Source organism: Homo sapiens, chromosome 10, assembly GCF_000001405.40.
Source record: "Homo sapiens chromosome 10, GRCh38.p14 Primary Assembly".
Lineage (NCBI taxonomy): Eukaryota > Metazoa > Chordata > Mammalia > Primates > Hominidae > Homo > Homo sapiens.
In genome coordinates, this window is record NC_000010.11 from 45,164,901 (window position 1) to 45,188,789 (window position 23,889).

General features: G+C 36.5%; 1 pseudogene across 1 annotated transcript in view; it reads left to right on the plus strand.

The window, feature by feature from the left end:
* Positions 1 to 21,141, plus strand: part of ANKRD30BP3 (ankyrin repeat domain 30B pseudogene 3) — a 31,380-nt pseudogene extending 10,239 nt beyond the window's left edge. Inside the window, exons 3-8 of the transcript NR_033891.1 lie at positions 6,524 to 6,644; positions 6,913 to 6,974; positions 7,635 to 7,732; positions 9,516 to 9,730; positions 20,384 to 20,484; positions 21,027 to 21,141. The product of NR_033891.1 is annotated as an ankyrin repeat domain 30B pseudogene 3 (transcript). The remainder of the gene's footprint in view (positions 1 to 6,523; positions 6,645 to 6,912; positions 6,975 to 7,634; positions 7,733 to 9,515; positions 9,731 to 20,383; positions 20,485 to 21,026) is intronic.

The window sequence follows — 23,889 nt, forward strand, 5'->3', positions numbered from 1 at the left end:
TATCTTTTTTTCTCTAAAATCTGTTCAGCAAACTGACTATTGAAAATTCACAGTCTACAAAACTTAAGGAAGACTTTAATCTTGCTACCAATGTAAAATGGTCTCTTGTGAAGTTGATTTTCTCAGTTGGAATCTAGTTCTGTATAGTATTTACTTTTCATGTTTAGCAGTGGTGTAATTACCATTATTTCATGTTGGTAATATAAAGTTGGTCAGATAAAAACATTTTATGGAAATATGAGTAGTTGATTTAACGTTTTTTTTTTTTTACTTTAGTAAATAACAAATGATTGGTAAATATTTTGAGGGTGTGAGTGCCAACAAAAGGAATGGACTGGAGAATACATAGTGATAGGAACATTATATTAGAAAAAACTTTTCCACAATACAGAATATATAAAATCTGGTAAAGGTTTATTTGGATAAGTGTACTTACTGTGACTTTTAAAATTATTCTATTGTCACTTAAAAAACTCATGCTTAAATTTATATTTAATGGATCCAGTTACTTACTATAGTAATCAAGGAATCTCTCTGATACTGTTCAGTTCCAAAACTGTGCCACATAGCATATAGGGTTTTTTTTGCACGTATTATTTTGATATCATGTAGTTTTTAGGAGAGAGCTTTTTCTCAGTTTCTCTTCTTGGTTCTTTAATTACACCAAAATAATATTAGAAATTGTGAAAATTTTGGGGGCATGGTGGTACATGCCTGTAGTTCCGGCTACCAAGGAGGCTGATGCAGGAGGATTGCTTGAGCCCAAGAGTTTGAGACCAGTGTGGGCAACATAGCGAGACCTTATCTCTAATTTTATTTTTTATTTATTTTTTTGAGATGGAGTCTCGCTCTGTCACCCAGGCTGGAGTGCAGTGGCACGGTCATGGCTCACTGCAACCTCCGCCTCCTGGGTTCATGCCATTCTCCTGCCTCAGCCTCCTGAGTAGCTGGGACTACAGGTGCCCACCACCATGCCCGGCTAATTTATTTTATTTATTTATTTATTTATTTATTTTGTATTTTTAGTAGAGATGGGGTTTCACCTTGTTAGTCAGGACAGTCTCGATCTCCTGACCTCGTAATCCACCCTCCTCGGCCTCCCAAAATGCTGGGATTACAGGCATGAGCCACCATGCCCGGCCTATCTCTAATTTTAAAAAATAATTGTAGAAATTTAGAAATGTAAATTCTCTTTCTCAGAGTCTGTATTATTAAGGCATGCCAGTGTGTTTTCTAAATTATTTCATTAAAAGTATATTTTACACTCTTCATCTCAATGAAGAATGCAGGTTTTACCCCAAGTAAACAACCAGTGTATGGAAGCAGAGAATCTTACTAAGCATATGGTAGAATTTTAATTTCAGAATTTTTAAATTGCAATTTTTAAACATATTGTTAAAAGATTTTTTATCACATTTGAAAATTTTAAATTTTGGAAGATTTTGTATTGAGTTGTTTAAATAATCGTTTTGAAGTTCTTGCATCACTATAAGATACTGCAGGTTAGAAAACATACTTGTGTGCAGCCTAGTGTACCCAGAATACAGTCTTGCCTATAAAAAGAGTTTTAAAAGTTTTCAATGTGAATAAATAAGCAGAAAAATGAATTTTTATGTAATGAAATGTTACAAGTAAGATAATATGCATAATATATCTTATAATAAAATCTAATGCATTTCCAAAATATGGCTTAAATGTATATTTTCTTTTAATATTTAGAATGCATAAATTCATGTGAGTTATCTTGAGAAAATATGTCTTAAATAAGACAATAAATCAGAGGTATGTAGTAAACAGGAAAGAAGGTTACACTATATCCTCCAAGTGGAGTTTAGATTAAAAAAATTTTAATATATTTAAATATATTTTAGTCTCAACTCATTTTTTTTTTTTTTTTTTTTTTTTTTTTGAGACAGAGTCTCTCTGTTGCCCAGGCTGGGGTGCAGGTGTGCAGGTGGCATGATCTCGGCTCACTGCAACCTCCGCCTTCTGGGTTCAAACAATTCTCCTGCCTCATCCTCCTGCGTAGCTGGGACTACAGGCGTGTGCCATCACACCCAGCTAATTTTTGTATTTTTAGTAGAAACAGTGTTTCACCATGTTGGCCAGGATGGTCTTGATCTCTTGACCTCATGATCTACCAGCCTCGGCCTCCCAAACTGCTGGGATTACAGGCGTGAGCCACCGCACCCAGCCGAAACTCATGTTCTATTAAACATATCATTTCAAGGAATACATTACTCTTTAGAATTCTGATTACCAAAACTTTCTTCAGGTGAAAAGTTTACGAAACATTCCTTTTTAAATTTTGTCTCTCTGTAGTAAAAATGTTCTAGCTTTTAGGTATTGGCTGAAGACCATGTTTAACTAATTGAGTGTCTTATTATATAATAATGAAATTAAAATCTTTATTACACAGGTATTAACAAAATAACTAATTGTAATGCAAATACTGACCAGCATTATAGGAATATATTATGAACAGAAGTCTGTATTTTACGTATTTCATCACATGTCTTATATAGTAGTTGTTTTTCCTTTTCTTTCATGACTGAAGCTCATACTTGATTGACTGGTTATGTCTCTTGTTTGTTTCTCCCTCCTCCTTCACCTTTTTAAAAATGATTTACCCCAGACTTTTTTCTCACAGAATACATTTCTTCAGTGTCTGCTTTTTAGGGCATCTCTGTCTCAATTGTCAGCATATTTATTTACAGGTTTCTATTTAGTTGCTATGTATTATTTTCATTAATCAATCATTGCCGCCCCCCATGATTTATTCTTTTTTTCTCTGTTTCTTGGAAGAAGCAGAATTTATACAATTATTTATACTTAGCTTTTTGCCACACAGAATAGAAACAACCTATGCTATTTCAATGCAAACCCAGTTAAATAAGGTACTATTAAAAACTAAGCTCTCACACTTTTCCATACAAGAGGTAATTAATACAACTGTAAATTGTGAAGAGATATTTCAAAATATAACATGTAATTTAACATTTTAATTATTTCTACAATTCTATAATCTATGTAATGGTAAATTTTTGTCCTAGGTTATTTTGGTTAAAAAAAAATCTAATGGATACCACCATATTTGTATAATAATAAATTAGATGAAGGGGGATGAAAGGAAATTATTCATTGAAGAAGGGTAAGATAAACATAGAGACTACATGAGAGAGTGAAGATGAGACAGACTATTATAAAAACACAGCAAAAATAGTGGTTTAAATGAGAGCAGGAACTCTCTAGAATAAAAGATATAATATAAATTATTTAAAATAAAAATTAAGAAAACATAGCCAGGTAATAAAACACTGCTCAGGTGTTTTTGACTGACTTATAGCTGATTTTAACAAAAAGCTGAAAGAAAATATAAGGACGAGTATAGGTAAGAGCAATTTGTTGTACTCTTTAAAATACCTAGTAGAGAATAGTTTGAATGTTTCTAGCATAAAGGAAAGATAAATACTTAAGGTGATTAATATCTCAACTATTCTGATTTCATTATGTGAATGTATTAAGTTATTATATGTACCCTCGAAACATATACATTTATATTGTGTGAACAAAAAAATTATTAACAAGGAAAGAATTCTCACTTCTTTTAGTAACTTTATGTTTTATATTTAATCTAGTCATACTTATATTAATGCAGAATGCAAAGTTAAATTGGTTTTAGGCCTTGTCAGCTTTATTGTGAATTATTAATTTTTGACTCTTTGGTTTCTGGTTTAAGATTTCTAACTTAATGTTTGACATATTCTTAGGTTATTTAACTAATTTATCCTACTCTTTGATATAACCTTGGTAGCTGTTTTGAATATTTTTGTTAATAGAGTATAAATAAATAAGCATTTTATTTAATCTTATTAAAATTAAATTTTCTGATCATATGAACAAGGTTTTTAATCTATATCTCTTAAAAGAGAAAAATCTTTTTTCTTGAGACCATCATGGCTAACATGGTGAAGCCCCGTCTCTACTAAAAATACAAAAAATTAGCTGGGCGTGGTGGCGGGCGCCTGTAGTCCCAGCTACTCGGGAGGCTGAGGCAGGAGAATGGCGTGAACCTGGGAGGCGGAGCTTGCAGTAAGCTGAGATCGCGCCACCGCACTCCAGCCTGGGCCACAGAGCGAGACTCCATCTCAAAAAAAAAAAAAAAAAAAAAAAAAAAAAAAAGAAGAATCACTTTTAAGCTACAACACTCTCAAAGAAATAAATGTAGAAATTAATCTCTAGAAATATTCTGACATCTTTTGCTCATAATATCTGTATGTAATGGTATTATATGCACACATCAAATGAATGTAATCAATCTTTGTGAATTTTTTAAAGTAAAGTACCTATTATTATAGAATCATATGTAAGGAAAATTGTTAACAGAGTAAACAAACTTATCATTGGAAGAATTTTTTTGCTCTTAAAAATATCTCTTGCAATCGGGATATTTTATATTATTTCCAGGAAGCCTTAACTTAGTCTTCATAATTATTAAACCTTGCACATATATTTGTTTATTTCTAAAACTCAGGAATCCTGTCGACTTGAATTTTGTAGTTTCTTTCTTCACTTCTCCTGTAAATACTGGATCCTGCTTGACAATCATAGATGTATGTAAAAACTATTAAATCTTCAACTTGAATAATTATTGGTTAATTTTCTTTATATGAGATCTTTTCTCCAATTTTAAACTACCATCCTATATGGTGTAAATAGGCAATGTGAGCTAGCATTCTATTGTTTACAGGAACATAAGAAAAACATGTGAATTTTAAAACAGGGTTTCACATTTCTATCTCACTTTATAATGGTAATTAAAAATGCCTCATAATTCTATAATTAGGTAAGCATTTCTCTTGTACAATTAAAAATTTCAAAGTTAATTTTTATAAAGGTTCTTTTGCAGAATCTTGGTGTTTTAGAATTAAATGTTTTCATTCAATTCAAAGATGCATATTGCAATATTTCAGAAATATTTACCTATATAAATAAAATTATTTTCTTGAAACAAATTTGGAAATATATAACTGAGAAACTTAATCCCATGTTTTTGTCTCTCCTTTGATTTTCTTTTTTTTTTTTTTTTTTTTTTTTTTGAGACAGAGTCTCACCCTGTCACCCAGGCTGGAATGCAATGGCACGATCTCGGCTCACTGCAACCTCCACCTCCCAGGTTCAAGCGATTCTCCTGCCTCAGCCTCCCGAGTATCTGGGAGTACAGGCATGCGCCTCCACGCCCAGCTAATTTTTGTATTTTTAGTAGAGACGGAGTTTCACCATGTTGCCCAGGCTGGGCTCAAACTCCTGACCTCATGATCCACCCGCCTCGGCCTCCTAAAATGCTGGGACTACAGGCGTAAGCCACTGCACCTGGCCCGATTTCACTTTCAAAAATTCAACAGTCTGCATAGGTTACTTAATTCTACCCATTTAGCCTATCTTATAAATATTTATCTTATCACTATGTAATTTTCCTCATGTAGGTCATCTACTCATACTCCAAATGTATTTATCCAGATCTTTCTTCCAAGCCCCTTGGGTGCCCCAAATCTTATAGGTCTCAAACTGAAAGCATCATTTTTATTCTGTTCCTGTTTTCTGACTCTTCGTAATCTACTCTGTCATCTGGTTTCCCCATCCTAGGAAATAACACCTAGGAAGTAGCGGTGAAACACTCAAGCACTTAAACCTGCACTTCAACCCTCCCCCACATCCTAAACTTCAACCCTTTTCCATGTCACCCATCCAGTCACACACCTAATTTTGTATTTTCTACCTTCTTATAATTTTCCATATCTTATTACCATAATTAACTCTCTACCTATAATTTTGAAGTACTCCTTTCTAGTTTTGCCCCATCTCCCCATGTTCATCTATCTTTACATCGCTGGAAGGGTCACCTTTCTAAAATGTATTTGTAATGATGTAACTCATCTGCATATTGAGTGAATACCCATTACACGAAGGGGTAAGTTCACATTCTAGCGTGACACATATCTTATATGGTTTGGCCCCATTTTATCTCTTCATCTCTTTCCTCTGTGTTCCAGTTTTACGACATCACCTTGGCACCCCTCAATTGCCATGTTGTTTCATGCCTTATTATTTTACACATGCTATTGCACCTAGAGTCTTTGTATCCTGACTCTGCACTTTGTCTGTCCTTCCCAATATGGCCCCATTATGGCAGCATTTTCTATGCTTTTCAGATAAAACTGATTGTTCTCTCCTTTGTGCCCTTATGTATTATATTGACTTAAATTGTAGAACTGGTGAATTATACTTTTCTGTTCTTATTTGTTTTCACGTCTCTAACATTTCTTGAATATAGGCCAGAATCTATCTTCTGTGTATATTTCCTGCTTCTCCCAGGATAGTGCCTGTGATTCGATAGATACAATGTATGGGTTTTTTTGTTTGTGTTTTGTTTTGTCTTACTGACAAATTGAGTGAATGAGTGAATAAATAAAGTTTTTTCTGAAGTTGTTTTTTGGTGCTTTTTGGTTTTTGTTTGTAATAGAAGGAAGCAACAAAGACAGCAACTGAACAACAAGAAAATGATATTGGAATTATTGAATGAGCGCCATAAGATCTAACAAGTAATGACAATTTTCTTTTTTTATACCAAAATAATAGAAGTGGTAAGTTAGTATCTCTGAAAATTTTTCTATGCTTAAATGCTATTATTTAGAAAACAATTTTATAGACTGAAATACAATGTCTACCTTAAAAAATACTTTTTGCTATCTTTCATCATACTATCAATTTTCTGAACCTGCTTTGATTCTGAAATTCTATATTTGCTATTACTTTTTGAAATATTCATAAATGGAAATAGATTTGTGTATGTTTTTATAATTTACAGTAATAAATGTTCTCATATGTGTGTCTGTGAATACCATTCTGTAGATAAGATGCCCACATCAGAGTCAGGACAAAAAGAAGATACGAAATCACCTTCAGTTTCTGAGGTACCGTGTATTGTTGTTATTTTAAAACTTAAGTAATGAGTAATCTTAAAACATAAAAAGATGACTTTGTCTCACGTCTGCATGTGTCCATAAGCCATAAGAAATTTTCTGACATTTATCAGAACATACTTTATAATCATATGCCAAGTAGATAACAGCTGCATAGTGCAATTCTGCTAATTTGCAGGATTAATTTACAAAGCCAGTGTAGAATAGAGCAAAAGAAAATAAGGCATAGAAGAAACCAGGAATCTGAGTTCTGAAGATAAGTTTGTCTAAAAACAAAATAATTTCTCTGCATTCATTTATGGGCAAATACATGATTCTGTGTATATCTAGATGTATGAAAGCTTTACTTGGATTCAGGGAGAAAGAGTTTAAACTGTAGTCTTAGTGTTGCTCAACTTGGAACTTGAAAAGATAATGCCTGGGACTTGAAAGTATTAGTATATTTCGATTATCCAGTATAGATCTGAAGGAACATTTCAGGAGTTGGATAAACATGAGAAATAGGACACCTGTAAAACTATAACACAACAATTTGGTTGAGTAGTATTTTAATAAGTAGACATTCTTTTCACAAATAGAACTCTTTGAGTCCCTTTGTGGCAGCCATGTTTGCAACCACATAGGTATCAGATAATAATGATGTATTCCAAGGTCACAGCTATGGATGTGGAAGAGATAGGAAAGGCCTCACCACTTAAGATAGAAGCAGCAGCTGCATAGTGGTAACAGCAATGAGTGGATGTCAAAAGGTAAGTCTGTATTTTGATTCTGTCACTTACTAGCTATGGGAACTTGGAAAAAATCATTTAACCTAATCAAATACTAGTAACCTTGTATATAAAAATAGTGCTCATATCTACCTCTTAGGTACATGAGATGAAATAATGTTGTAACAAATGTGAAAACATTCTGTAAACTGGGAAGTCTGTATCCAAATGTAAGACAAAACGATCAAAGTGGCATTTATGTGAAAGCAGAATTGTTAGCACAAGAATAGGGAGTAAGAACAGGCATGTGGATTTCTAATTTTGGGTAAGAGGATGGTAACTTTCAGCAGGCTACCACTGCAGATTTTCCATAGAAATATAGCAGTTTGGAAAATTAGACTTTCCTGTTGAGATTTTCAATGTTTTGACCTGGAGTAATTTCTTTCTAAGTACCAACTGTGTGCTAGGCAGTGAGTCTCTGAATATCCAAGATGAGGGATTATGCTGCAGTAGTAGGAAGATAATAACAAATGAAAAACACTTATAAATCACTGTAACTTTTTCTTAAAAACAAAACAGAGAATGTTTGGTTAGAGAAAATTGAAGAACTTTATAATTAGCATGGGTATGGGAGTGGCAGTGGAATTCTATGGTCAGAGTAGATCTTTCTGCGACTGCCATTCAATCTCCTGTCTCAAAGATGAGGAGTAAGCCATATGAAAGTCTAGGAGGAAGACATTCTGAACAGAGAACAGTGGACCATATTTGTTCATCATTTTGTTCTTAACAACCTAGAATGACTAGGAAGCAGAAAGTGGGGTAACCACCAACATCATCATCATCCTCATTATTCTAAGGTGAAGAAAAATCTGCACATATGTGTCTGGCACATGTTAGATGTTTCACGAATACATGTTTTTATTTTTCTCTTTTTGTGAAGGCTTGCTCTACTTTTCTGAAGTTATGTCTTAAGAATCAATTGCATACTTTATCTAATGATTGTTTTCATTTAAAAATAACAAATATATATTTTCCTTATGAATCTTTCATTTTATTCAAGCAGTTATCAGCAAAAACTTATCAAAATTATTCTTAAGCCTTTGTTTTCCTAAATGAAACAGATTTAGAGTTCTTTTCCTACTCCGCATGACATACTCTGAAAATTCTCGTGCCATGCATAGTTTTTAACAAAAATTCTGTAATTATGCATATGTCAAATGTTTAATCATATTGTATTTTGTTTGCAATGCCCTATTATTTTTGGTGAGGACTACAGTGTAAGGCAGATACTTTGAAGTTAATTCCTTTTGAAATATACACACGTGAATTTTTTTGTGAATATGATTTATTTTTCATGCTCAGTAACCCAGTCAATAGCCACATGAAGATAAAAGATAAGCGTGTTCTACAGAGCATATGCAAGGTTTTCTCTTGAAATGTCTTGGTTTTCAATATGTGAACAGCCTGAAATCTAATTGCCTTTAAAGTAAGGAAATGTGTTTTAAAAAAGATTTGAAATAAAAAATATTGATGCTTGTCATTATTTTTAAATCAAAATTATTTATTGAGGCAGAATGTGGTGGCTTATGCCTGTAATCCCAGTATTTTGGGAGGGAAAGGTGGGTGGATCACTTCAGGTCAGGAGTTTGAGACCCACCTGGCCAACATGGTGAAACCCTGTCTCTATTAAAAATACAAAAAAATTAGCCAGGTGTGGTAGGCAATCAATATATATTTGTTCAGTGTATGAATTAGTGATTGTTAAAATATGCTGTCCTTTATATCCCAAAGTACTAATATATTTTATTTCTATCTCCTCCTCAAGACAGATTCAACTAGCCTATCAATATTCTTGGGTGCAGTTCCTTCTCATGAAAGAGCAAGGGAACTTAAAAAATATCACTGTGAACAACTTACAGCAAAAATAAAACAAATGAAAAATAAGTTTTGGGTACTACAAAAGGAACTATCAGAAGCAAAAATAAAATTGCAGTAAGTGAATCAAAAGGTTAAATGGGAACAAGAGCTCTGCAGTGTGAGGTATGACATCCTAGTTTTAAATAAATATTTCAACTATTTATACTAAAATTATGTAGGATACTTTTTGTAATAGCTGACTTACCTTCTGAGGTTTAACTGCAGAAAAAAACCTGTCTTGTAGAGTGTCAAATTCCTTTAAATAATACAAGTTCTTAACTTTGAATACTTCTACTGATAATTAAATGCATATTTATTTAAATCACAATTTTAATGACTATATAGAAGGCCATTATTTGGAAATCCCATTATTTACTTAACAAATTAATTTTTTTGATTTTTAATTTTTTGTATTATAAGTGCTGCAAGGCATAACTGCAAGTAAATATTTTTCTACCTTTCTAATTATTGATTTGGAATAAATTCTTCAATATAAAAATATTTGGTTAAATTATAGGAAGTTTTAAAAAGTTCTTTGTTCATTACTTCCAAATTGTTCTCAAGAAAATTTATATTCATTTACAGTTCAACAAAGAGAGTGTGAAACGGCCATTCCTCTCCCCCCAAGAATCAATTTCCTTTAATTGTACACTTTTAATCTTAATGTGTATGGAATATAAGGAAAATACTTGTTTATATTTTTAATCTTTTCCTTTCAGAACTGTGATAACTAAAAGTGCTTGTTACAATGTCTCAACTTATAATTTATAAATATAATTCTTAAAATTATATTTTTAAAAATAGAATATCTATAGAATATTCTCAGGAAAAAGGAAATGAAAGGGCTTTGGGAAATTTTATCTGTCTAAATATAAGCAGCACTAATATTGGGGGAACTGGCCAGCAGCCCGCAATGCAACAGGGCTCCTTCTTTGTTCCCAGGCGGATTGGCAGGTTGAGAAATAAAAGACACACACAAGATAGTGAAAGCTGTGTCCAGGGGGGTCACCACCTTCTGGTCCTGTGATGCCGCCAATGCACTGGATATACCAGCATTTATTATTAAGTTTAGTGAGGGTGGGGATAGGTTAGTGAGGGATTTATGGTCATTTGATTATGAGGTGAGATGGTCACGAGGGTGAAGTAATTTAACATAACATCAGTATGCAGAAGTACAGCATACAGAGATAAGAATTTACAATATAGTGTGTGCATCAGCAATTTCTAACAGAGCCTTAAAACAGAAACACAGTCTTTCCATAACCTATGATTAGCAAGATATTAATCAGCAGTAACAGTTGCAGCAAAAGCTGGTTGCAAACAATCCATAGAAACAGGACGTGAAGCTAGACAACTGGTTAGACCACAAATTCTCAGAAGGGAGTATGCTTTAACCCTAAAGAGGCCTAGAAGAGCCGAGGCAAGATAAGGGCATTTATAGCCCCATCTTATCCATATAAACAGGCGCCCCTCATGCGTTCGCTTATAGGCTCTCCACAAGAGTCACATTCCATTCCCAGAGCTATGAACATCTGCTTTTCTGGGATAGGAATCATGGTGATGTGAAACCTCCCTGACTGCATATCCGTTCATAGGCTCTCTGCAGGGGGAAGCGTATCACGCACTGTTGGCTTATTCTGGCAGTCCAACCTGGCATTGTCTTTACACAATCCTGCATGCAATTTTGTATTTACAATAATCAGGAGTATTTCACCTTTTATTCCAAAGCAATAGTTTCAAGGGGTCTCCCTACACACTAAGGCTTCTAGTATGGGGTCTTGTATAGGTTAGACATCAGGGTGTAAATCAAATTTTTGTATGTAGTCAAAGTGATTAATCTTTTATTTTATGCTTTTGCATGTGTTGTAATCCAGGGAAAGTTTGTTTCAATTCTGAAGCTCTTAAAAATTCTCTAGTCATTTCTTTTTTACTTTCATGAATTCATTGTGTTCAAATAAATGTTTGAACTTTGGGGAATTTATGCTCTATAGCATTTGAAGTTTTGATTCAATGGTTCTTCAACTGATACCTACTTACAGAAACCCTTTCAGTGGATAAATGTAAAAATTATTCTTTAAGAGGAACCATGATATCCCATTTTATTGAGTGCTAGCTAAAAATTTATTTTATTTAGGTTTCTCATGCTTATGAAAATGAAAATGATCTCTTACATGAAAATGGCATGTTGAAAAAGGAAATTGCCATGCTAAAACTGCAAATTGGACATACTAAAACATCAGCACCAGGAGAAGGAAAATAAATACTTTGAGGACATTAAGATTTTAAGAGAAAAGAATGCTGAACTTCAAATGACCCTAAAACTGAAAGAGAAAACATTAACAAAAAGGGCACCTCAGTATAGTGGGCAGCTTAAAGTTCTGATAGCTAAGAACACAATGCTCACTTCTAAATTGAAGGAAAAACAAGACAAAGAAATACTGGAGAAAGAAATTGAATCATACCATTCTAGACTAGCTTCTGCTATACAAGACCAAGATAAAGTGTGACATCAAGAAAAAACCAAGAACTTGCTTTCCACAGTGCTCATTTGCAAGGAAAAATGAATGTTGATGTGAATAATATATAACAATGAGAAGCTTCATCAACCACTTTCTGAAGCTCAAAGGGAATCCAAAAGTCTAAAAATTAATTTCAATTATGCAGGAGACGCTCAAAGAGAAAATACATAGGTTTTAGAACATGCACAAAGAGACCTAAGTGAAACATAGTGTCAAATGAAGAAAGCTGAACACATGTATCAAAACAAACAAGATAATGTGACCAAGCACACTGAACAGCAGGAGTCTGGAGCAGAAATTATTTCAACTACAAAGCAAAAACATGTGGCTTCCACAGCAATTAGTTCAGGTGCATAAGAAAGCTGATAACAAAAGCAAGATAATAATATTCAGTTTTGAGAGGAAAACGCAACATCACCTCCTAAAAGAGAAAAATGAGGAGATATTTAATAACTGTAACCATTTAAAATAATGTTTATACCAATATGAAAAACAGAAAGCTGAAAGAGAAGTATCAAAAAAAATAAATATTTTTCAACCTTCCTGAAAGAAAATTTAAAGTCATATTTGGCCTTAGATAAATGCTGAATCTAGTTTAATATAGATAATAAATATATTTACCATGTCAGCTTAGAAACATGGCTTATTTCCACCAAATGCAAGTTAAAGCTGAGAGATGTTTTACTTTAAGACATTGTGTCACTTATGAAATTTTAAGAATTTAAGTTAAAGGTTTTTAATAGATTAACATTAATGACATTGGCTTATACTGCTGAAATAAAGGTTTTTTTTTTTTTTTTTTTTTTTTTGAGACGGAGTCTCGCTCTGTCGCCCAGGCCGGACTGTGGACTGCAGTGGCGCAATCTCGGCTCAGTGCAAGCTCCGCTTCCCGGGTTCACGCCATTCTCCTGCCTCAGCCTCCCGAGTAGCTGGGACTACAGGCGCCCGCCACCGCGCCCGGCTAATTTTTTGTATTTTTAGTAGAGACGGGGTTTCACCTTGTTAGCCAGGATGGTCTCGATCTCCTGACCTCATGATCCACCCGCCTCGGCCTCCCAAAGTGCTGGGATTACAGGCGTGAGCCACCGCACCCGGCCAATAAAGGTTTTAATATCTCTTTGTGGCCACATTTTATGACCACGATGAAACAGATAAATGGGAATGCCCATATCAGCAATGAGTATTTTGAAATTGATTCAACAATTTACTTTGACAGTTAATTCTAAATTTTCCAGAGGAACTGAAGTGTATTTGAAGTATATTTTGAAGTGTACATTTCTGCATCTTGTAATACTACTTTTTCAGTAACTTTTTGTATATTTTAGTTGGTAGAATTTTATTTTCATTTATGTCAATTTGACTTAAATCTGAACATATCTGAATCTCAAATTATGTATTGTTATGACAACTTAATTTTTTAAAGCCATCTGTGTTTTATTAAATAATAGCTTAGGACAAATGTAGTGGATTTTAGCAATATCAAATTTGATTTAATCATCCCACTGGTATTTATAATTTACTTTGAATATTGTTACAAATAATTTGCTCATAATTTCTATTTCAAGGCTCAAAGACTGTCATGTGGATAGAACTTTGTCCCAGAGAAAGATCATTGTAGCTATCTGTGATTTATTAGCTTTGCATTGGATCCCCATTTTTCAATTCATGGGGGGTGGCAGGGTTCATGTATAGTACAAAAAAAGTGAGTAGAGGAGAGAAACTTAGCAGCTGCGGTCAGGAGGGATGTGGAGACCAGGTTACCTAGGGCCTCTAAAGCCTTTGAAACAAAAATACTTTTATTCTGAGATAGAAACCTGTTGGAAAAATTTCACCAGGTGATTGAGTATGTGAGGAACTTTGATGTTGATTTGTGCTTCAATAAAAAAGAAGGAAAGCATTCCACAGCATAGAATTTACCACCACTAGTCCTGCCCACATATTTTCTTGAGACTTCAGTAAGTTGTGAAGCATTACAGATTCATTAGGGGACAAATGACTAGTGGGATGAATCTGGTGTCTAGTAAGAGAGTACCAGTTTGGCAGGAAGATAATACCTTCTTGTGTCCTTAAGTGGATTCAGTAATAAGCAGGAATGTGTACACATAAAGAAAATAAGCTGAACCAATATATTTGGTGATATTTTTGAAAGTAAATATTGTTAATTTGATAAGGTGATTTACAAATCAATAACAAACATGTCAGGTCACTGTGAGACAACTTCAAAAAAAATTGGCTGATCTCAATAAACAATGTGTGTCTGAGGCTTCACTAGAAGCTGCATCACATTACCACATTAATCTCAAAGTTGAGGTACAGGATTTAATGAAAAAATGATTTCGAATTGAAAGTCAAGTATGTATTAAAAGTAACATGCCAACAGTGAATCTATAGCTGGTGAAATTATATAAATTGTTTTATGATACTAATCTCCATGGGGAGACTTCTTTTATATGTTCATTATAATTAGTTGTATTACAATTTTATTATCATTATAATGTGCTTATTTTTAAAACTGTGGCTATAATTCTGCAATGTTTTTCTTATGATTAAAAATTTTCTCATAATATCTGCCCTCAAGAAGGTTAAAAATTATACATCATTTATCCCACAAGTTGAGAGACTATTCTTCGGATAAACAGTATTTTTCAGTGATTTATGTTGCCATGGTGAGGCAAGCGTTATTTAATCAGAGAAGAATGTTTAATGGAATATTCCAGAAAATTATCTGTCTGAGAGGCTGCCTTAAATACTTCCTAAAATGCTTGCTGAAAAGTCCGGCAAGATGAATATGACTTGGAGGCTGGGTGGCAGGCCGGTTTTTTGGAGGCCGGCCTAGAGCCTGCCTGCATGGGAGTCTGGTCGAATGACAAGTCTTCTGGCAGGGGGAGAGGCTTGCTGGAACGCTGATCGAAATGCTGGCTGCATGGAAGGCCGGTCTTCAGGCTGGCTGGCTGGCTAGGAGGCTGACATAGAGGCTTGCTGGGAGATTTGCCAAGAACCCGGGTGAGAGGCGGCCGACTAGGAGGCTGGCGGAGAGTCCGTGTGAGAGGGTACCTCAAATTCTTGCTAATTTTGCTTGCTGAGGGCCTGGTAGGCTGAGTCCGGCTAAGAGCCTGGTTGTACCAGGCTCGCTTGTTAGGAGGCTGGCTACAAGATCCCGTGAAAGCCTCACGGCTCTACTCAACAAATTTCTCTAGAAAGAGGCCGGAGTGTACAAGGGCTTCACTAGACCACACTTTTTACTGATGTTGGGCCGGATGTGGTGGCGATTAAGGGCAAGGGCGAGCGGCGGGGGCTGGGGCTGGGGCTGGGGCTGGGGCTGGGGAAGGGCGAGTGAGAGGAGCGGCCTCTCTCTTAAAAGGTGGCTGCAGCCATGCAGAGGCTTTCTGCCACTGCTGTCAAGGGCGTGACAAGCCTGGAGTGCCAGAGAGCCTTCACTCAGCTGGTCTACCACCAAAGACTCTTAAGTCATCCACTATAGGGATATCAGAAAGATGCACAGAGCTGCCTCCCGGGGCCACGCCTGGAAGCTTGCAGGGGATGATGTGAAGACGAGGACCATCGACCTGAACATAAAAGATGCGAAGAAGAGGCGCCGTGCCCTGCCTGAGCTGGGGCTGCAGGAGGAGGTGACAGCTGTGGGAGGATCGCCCCTTCAGCGTGGGGTGTGGTGGGTGTCCCCGGGACAAAGGCAGCAGGTGGAAGAGTGGGTCGGCAGCGGGGCAGAAATCTTGGGCCCCGGTATCTGGGCCTTCTTCCTGGGCAGGCCCCCAGTCCTGGGATGGGGGCGCCCTGCAGGGCACAGGGACAAGGCCTGCAGGGCAGAGGGACAAGGCCACCTTAAAATCAACCTCAAACTTTGGCTGCCTTCTCCTTCACTCCCACTGAGGCTGTTGGAAACGCTGGCTGCAAGGGAGGCTGGTTTTGAGGCTGGCTAGTCAGGAGGCCGCCTAAGAGGCTCTCTAAGAGGCGTACTGGGAGGCTGGCCACGCCATTGGTGGCATGGGAGGCTGATTCTGAAGCTGGTTGGCTAAGCGGCTGGCTAACAGACTTACCTAGAGGCTGGCTGGAAGGCTGGCCAAGGCGCGGGCTGCATGGGAGGCTGGTGTACTGAAGGACTCTCTTGAAAAGTAGCATAGAGGCTTGCTGAGAGGCTGGCTCACTGGGAGGCTGGCCTAGAGCCTGTGGGAGAGGCTTTCTGTCTGAGAGGCTGCCATAAACGCTTGCTAAAAGGCCTGCTGAGATCCTGGCAGGCTGAATCTGGCTAAGAGTCGGAATGCAAGTCTGGCTTGTTAGGAGGCTGGCCTAGAAGCTGGCTGCATGGGAGGCTAACCAAGAGGCTGGCGAGGAAACTGGCAGAGTGGCAGATTGTCTGGCTGTGCAAGAGGCTTGCTGGATGGCTGTTAAAAACGCTGGCTGCATGGGAGGTTGGTCTGGAAGCTGATTGTCTGGGAGATTCGCTTAGAGACTTTCTGAAAGGCTGGATCGGAGGCTGGCTGTCTAGGAGGCTGGCCAAGAGCCTGCGGGAGAGGCTGTGTGAGAGGCTGCCTTAAATGCTTCCTAAAACGCTTGCTGAAGAGTCCGGCAAGATGAATGTGACTTGGAGGCCTGGTGGCAGGCCGGTTTTTTGGAGGCTGGCCTAGAGCCTGGCTGCATGGGAGGCTAATCAAATCACGAGTCTTCTGGCAGGGGAAGAGGGTTGCTGGAATGCTGTTCGGAATGCTGGCTGCATGGGAGGCCAGTCTTCAGGCTGGCTGGCTAGGAGGCTGACACAGAGGCTTGCTAGGAGGCTTGCCAAGAATTAGTTCAACCATCGAGGAAGGAAGTGTGTTGACTCCTCAAAGATCTAGAAGCAGAAAGACCATTGACCCAGCAATCCCATTGCTAGGTATATATCCAAAATAATATAAATCATTATATTATAAAGAGACATGCACATGTATGTTCACTGCAGCACTATTCACAACAGCAAAGACATGAAATCTACCAAAATGCCCATCAATGTTAGACTGGATAAAGAAAATTTGGTACATGTGCACGATGGACTATCATGCAGGCCTAAAAAGAAACAAGATCATGTCCTCTGCAAAGACATGGATGGAGCTGGAAGCCATGATCCTCAGAAAACTAATGCAGGAACAGAAAATCAAACAACACGTATTCTCACTTATAAGTGGGAGCTGAATGATGAGAACACACAGATCCATGAGGGGTAACAACACACAATGGGACCTGTTGTGGGGGCAGGAGGAGGGAGAGCATCAGGAAGAATAGCTAATCAATACTGGGCGTAATATCTGAGTGATGGGTTGATCTGTGCAGCAAACCACTATGACACACGTTTACCTATGTAATGAACCTGCACATCCTGTACATGGACCCCAGAACTTAAAAGCTGAAGAAAAAAAAAATAAAGAAACTTTAGTGCTGTCCAGGGATGCACACTGAACAGAAAAAATGGCCTTGTGATTTGCTTTATAATATTCCTGTAAAGATAGATGAACAGATAGATGAACAAAATGTAGGACAATCTTGATCACAGAAATTGAATAATGGGTATTTTAGTGTTACTTTTACTATTTTCTCTACTTTTGAATAGGTATACAAATTGTAATTAAAAGATAAAAATAAATATATTAATCCCTGCTTTGAAACCACATACAAACAGTACTCTGAAAAGATTCAAGCAATTTACATGGTACTATATGGATCTCCCTCGCACCTCTGTATGTAACATTTAAATATTTTGCAACTGGCCAGGCACGATGGCCCATGCCTGTAATCCCAGCACTCTGGGAGGCGAAGGCAGGTGGACCACCTGAGGTCAGGAGTTCAAGACCAGCCTGGTCAACATGGTGAAACCCTGCAGGAGAATTACTTGAGCCCGGGAGGCGGAGTCTGCAGTGAGCCAAGATGGCGCCACTGCTCCAGCCTGGGTGACAAGAGCAAGACTCCATCTCAAAAAATATAAATATAAATAAAATAAAAGATCTTCTTTCTTAAATTCTTACTTCATGTTATTAGCACCAAATCTGAAGGGCTCCATTACAGAAACTCTTTGAAATAAGAAACAAATGTATTTTTGAGAAACCACACAAGATGTAGTAATTATCATAGCTGTTAAAAGAAATGTGCTCATAAACAAATAACAGTAAAGGATTAGAGGCTTTCGGTCACACCAGGAAGTGATATTAATTATAATTCTTCTGTTAATTCTGAAAGAAAATATATAAACCTACTTCTAACAAACTTCCCATAAAACAAAACAACAACAAAACTCTTGGAGTTGAGAATGAACAGCAGAAGTTCTAGAAAAGCAGAAGTTCTAGAAGTTCTAGATAGCAAGCAACTGTGGAACACAGCGCACTGCCTTCTGCACTGCCCAGTTTCTGGCACCTGACTCACAGGTGCCAAATGGCTGCAGGATTACGACGTTGGAAGTAGTGAATATTTCCTCAATACTTGCAGTGGTTCATAGCAATGAAAAATCTAAGATTTCCTCTCTGCCTTTCAGGAGCTTTAAGGGAAGCAGCAAATACTACTAGCTTCTCACAAGTGGTTACGTTCCAAGATCCACCTAAAGCCATGAGCAGTACAAAGAGAGCCAAGCTTTTATTGTTTACAAGTAAATGATTAATAAACTGTTATTAATAAAATATTGTTTTAGCTATAATAGCCAAAATATTTTCCAATGGCCATATTATGTGAGCAAAATAACTCGACAGTCTCCTCCTTCTATGAGAAAGATGTAAGCTTGCTTGGTGGCAAGGGTCAATGATTCTATTAGGTTTAGCTGATTCTTTATCTTTTTTTGTTAGGGGCAGGGTCTTACTCAGTTGCCCAGGCTGGAGTGCAGTAGCCTCAAACTCCTGGGCTCAGGCAATCCTCCCATCTCAGCCTTCCGAGCAGCTGGGACCACAAGCACATGCCACCACACTTGGCTAATTGTTAATGCTTTTGCAGAGATGGGGCCTCACTCTGTTGCCTAGGCTGGTCTCAAACTCCTGGCCTAAAGCCATCCTCCTGCCTCGGCCTCTCAAAGTGCTGGGATTCCAGGTTTGAGTCACTGTGTCCAGCCAGGTTTAGCAGGTTCTTTTTACCATGCTCAATTTCCAAAAAAACACAGGAGGGCAGAGGTGAGGCCTCTTATGCAGATCCTTCTTCTCAGGTGTCATCTCCTCACGAATCCTAGTGACATCACAGTGGTATCTCTAATGATAAACAATGTTCACCACCTGACCTATTTTATTGCATGACTTAAAAATATAATGATTTGAAAAGTGGGAGAGACTCTTTATTGATCACTGGCTGATTTATAATCAAGTATTAGGGGAGATCAAATATCACAAAAAGTAATGAGGAGTAGAAACTTAAAATTTTCAATTTTTTCAATATATGAATTTTTAGAGACTTAAAGTAGTATAAATAGTTAAAAACTAAGTACATGAATCCTGCAAGTAACATACAAACAGTGACCTAAGTTTGTAGTTGCCAAATGAGTTGCACCTAAAACCTGGTCTTTGAAGACTCAGTGAGTGCCACGCACCCCACTTCAAATCCATAGGGATATAAAACGTCTGACACATGCTGAATATGGTAACGACATGACATAATAAGTAATTAGAAGCTCCCAAAGGGGTTCTAGCACAGAATGAGCGCTAAATAAATAAATAATAAAAACAAGAAAAATGCTTAGTACCTTAATAAAGTAGTAAATAATAAAAAATGACAATGATAATAACAAGGAAGATGCTTAGTACCTTAAAGATACCTGACAGTTATTTGTTAAGTGGACAAGTGGATAAATAAATAAAAAACATTTTTTAGGAAATTCTGTTGGAAAAAATGCAGAAATTCAATAGGGACAGCTCTACTGTATTATGAGCACCTTAAAGACCCAGACTATGTGTATTCCATCTTTGTCTCCTGCAACTTGCAAAACCTAACTTATCGTTTGATAATTTATCCTTTGATAAATATATAATAAAGATGTGCTCATACAGTTCATATTGTACCATGCATTGTGTCACATTTAGATATCACAGTAGCATTTTTGTTATTGTGAAAAATGTTTGTAATTTTATTATAATTTGTTGAGCCTAGAGTTAAGCTATTTGAATACTTATAATGATAATATTTTGGCTATTAGAAACAGAGTATCTTGTTGTAACAAAATTACTATTAACACGCTAATTATCCAGCAGATAGAACAACATATCTTGTTCTAATGAAGTAAATATATCTTATTTGGTTTCAGCTTGGAATGAAGTTGATAATAGTGAGACCTTGTTGGTACAAGACTATGTAACACAACCTGCACTTCTCAACAAAAAATTGCTTTTCTGACTTCTGCACTCAGTAGGTATCTTTGGAAAATAATCTCCTATTGGTACTGAGGCACCCTGGCTAAGTTTTGTAATTCTTGTTGACATTTGTTCGTGGTGCCAGAAAAGTATTATTAAGTATTATTAACTATTCTAAAGATAGTTACTTTTCTTTAAGACAGAGTCTCGCTCTGTCACCCAGGCTGGAGTGCAGTGGCATAATCTCGGCTCACTGCAAGCTCCACCTCCCGGGTTCATGCCATTCTCCTGTCTCAGCCTCCCGAGTAGCTGGAACTACAGGTACCCACCACCAAGCCCAGCTAATTTTTTTGTATTTTTAGTAGAGACAGGGTTTCACCATGTTAGCCAGGATGGTCTCAATCTCCTAACCTTGTGATCCACCCACCTCGGCCTTCCAAAGTCCTGGGATTACAGGCGTGAGCCACTGCGCCTGGCCAAGATAGTTACTTTCTTAGTGACACAAGTCACTATGTCACAAAGTTGATCCTTGAATAAGGGTTTTCACTGTAGGAGCCCACTAACAGACAGATTTTTCTTTTCCTTTGGCACTGCAAGATAGCAAGACAAATCTCTCCTCTGCCTCCTCATCAGACTACTCAATGTGAAGGCAATAAGAATGAAAACCTTTATGTATAATAATTCACTTCCACTTAATAAATAGTGAATATATTTTTTCCTCCTTGTAACAGTTTTCCTCGAGTTCACTTTATTGTAAGAATACAGTATATAGTACATATAAAATCGAAACTATGTGTTAATTGACTATGCTTTCAGTAAGGCTCCAGGTCAACAGTGGACTATTAGTAAAGGTTTGGAGGAGTCAAAAGAAACAGATTTTCATATGAAGCAGATTTTCAGCTGCATGGGGGATCAGCACCCTAACTCTCATATTGCACAAGACTCCATTGTAATTAATTCTCATTTACTAAATGCAAACCGTTTATTGTAAAAATTAAATAGAGCCCAGAAGTTCAATACCAGCCTGGGCAACATAAGGAGACCCTGTCTCTAAAATACATAAATAAATAAAACCATGTTTCTTCATAGGTTATTGTGGGAGTTCAGTCAGGCTGGTGGGAAACATTTTAAGATGAAGTTATAGGACATAGACACAAATCTTCTTGGAATGCCAAAGGTTTTGTAAAAGTCTCAAGATAGGGTTATGGCTGAAAGCAGCCTAATCCTTACCTTGAGTAAGTAGCTTAAAGTGGGTACAAAGAAAGGTAGAGTAGTTTATCCAAATAGCTTGTTTACTCATGTGGTCTTAAGACTACCCTTTGATCACCCACAGGCAAGATGGCTCTCCTGGGGTAGGGGCACCCAGATTAATTACCCACAGGTGTGTTGGCTCAAAGCCTTTATCATTAAAACTTTGCTAATAAATGCCCACAGGGCCAGCTAGCCAGGGCTGTGGCTGCTGACTCTTTACAGCACCTTCCTTGGTGCCTGTAATCGGCTCAGAACCCTTGCTGCTCTTTCACTGAATATTGGTGTCTGGGTATGTGTCTCATCCGTCATGCAGCCGGGGTCTGTGGGACAGACCACCGCAAGTTAAAATATTCAAATGTTACGGTTTTCTGTTATTAATTCCTACTTTTCATTATTAGATGGTCAATTCTTTGTGGCTTCTAATTCAGGGCATGTAAGCTACTTTAAAATTTGTAATAAAATTTATTTATAAATATATTAATTCATTAAATTGGATAACCTGATCATCCCCTATTACTGAGCTCATCAATCACACTAAGGGTTATACATTTTGTAACAAGCCTAAGTTGTTATGACAATTGAAGAAACATACAATATACAAACTTAAACATTGCATTACTTATTTATACAAAAGTATTATGTAGGATTTTAGGGACCATAATTAAACAAATATTTTTTCAGATAATATTTTTTGAGATTATAAGCTACCTACAACTAAATTCTTAACTAATTCTGAATTATAAACTAAAAAATTTAAATCAAAGCTATATATATATATGTATATATGTAAACACATGCTATTTACACATTGCTTTTTGAATTGCTTTTTTGTGATCAATAGTTCCATAATCTTATGATAGCACCACCAAGAGTAGTTTACTATCAGAGGTCTTACCTGGATTGCTATTTTGAGGATTTTTAGATATCTTTCATATATATTCCAAAAGTTGTTGATGAATGCTATGTATAAAAATGTAATAAATAAAATTACTATTTTAACACTGATATAAAAAACATTTACCAAATTTATTATTAGGGTATTTCAGATAATATCAGAGCTAACATCAGAACATTACTTATTTCATAGACTTTGAGTTTGTAAGCTCTATGAACTTACTAAGCTTTTAATTAAAGAAGAAATAAAGTAAGATGAAATACTCATGAATTGAGGGCAGTCTAACTCAGTAAATTAACTAGAGTTAGCTTGGTATAACGGAAAATGCCCCTAACTCAGAAAAACTCCTAGCATGGTAACCAACAGGTATTTTTTCTTGAACAACTTGCTTCTCTTAGGCGCAATGTCTTCTAAAAATGAGGATTTTAGAGCCTTATTTCACTAGGTTATTATAAGAATTTAACAAGAGAACATTTTTAAAATACTCTGAGAAATAGTGAAGCAATGAAATAATTTGTTCTTGAACCTTATTGCTGAAACTATTTTAAAATTCCCAATAAAACCCAATGTGTTGGCCTGGTGCAGTGGCTCATGCCTGTGATGCAAGCACTTTGGGATGCTGAGACAGGGGGATCACTTGAGCCCAGAAGTTCAAGACCAGCCTGGGCAACATAGGGAGACCCTGTGTCTACAAAAAATAAATTTTTTTTTTAAAAAACTGTTTATTCATAGGTTATAATGTTCAAATGTTACAGTTTTCTGTTATTAATTCCTACTTTTGGTTATTATTAGATGTTCTATTCTTTGTGGCTTGTAATTCAAGGCATCTAAGCTATTTTATAATTTGTAATGAAATTTATGAATATATTAATTATTAAATTGGACAATCTGATTATCCTCTATTACTGAGCTCATCAATCACACCAAGGGAAGAAAACTATAGATGTCAGCATCTGGCTTGGACTACTACTAATCTTTCTCTACCTCCCTAAACTCTGAACCAACAAATCTTTCTTAGAATGATGCTTAGTCACTATGTTCATTTCCAGCTGCTGTGGAAGACAAAAACCTACCTTTATTTTTTGTAAGTTCCACAAAGAAGATGCCAGTTGGTATTTTCTCATTGGCCTACTAACAACATATTGCACACAAGATCCTATGTGTTACCATATCTCATTTCATAGATCACCTTACATAAATATTTTTCATATGAAAATCACAATTGCAATACTGGCTGTCACCCATTTTGCTTTGACTCACACCATTTCCTTGGAGCTAGTTAGAAAGTAGTCAAATGTCCTTTTGGGGACTGCA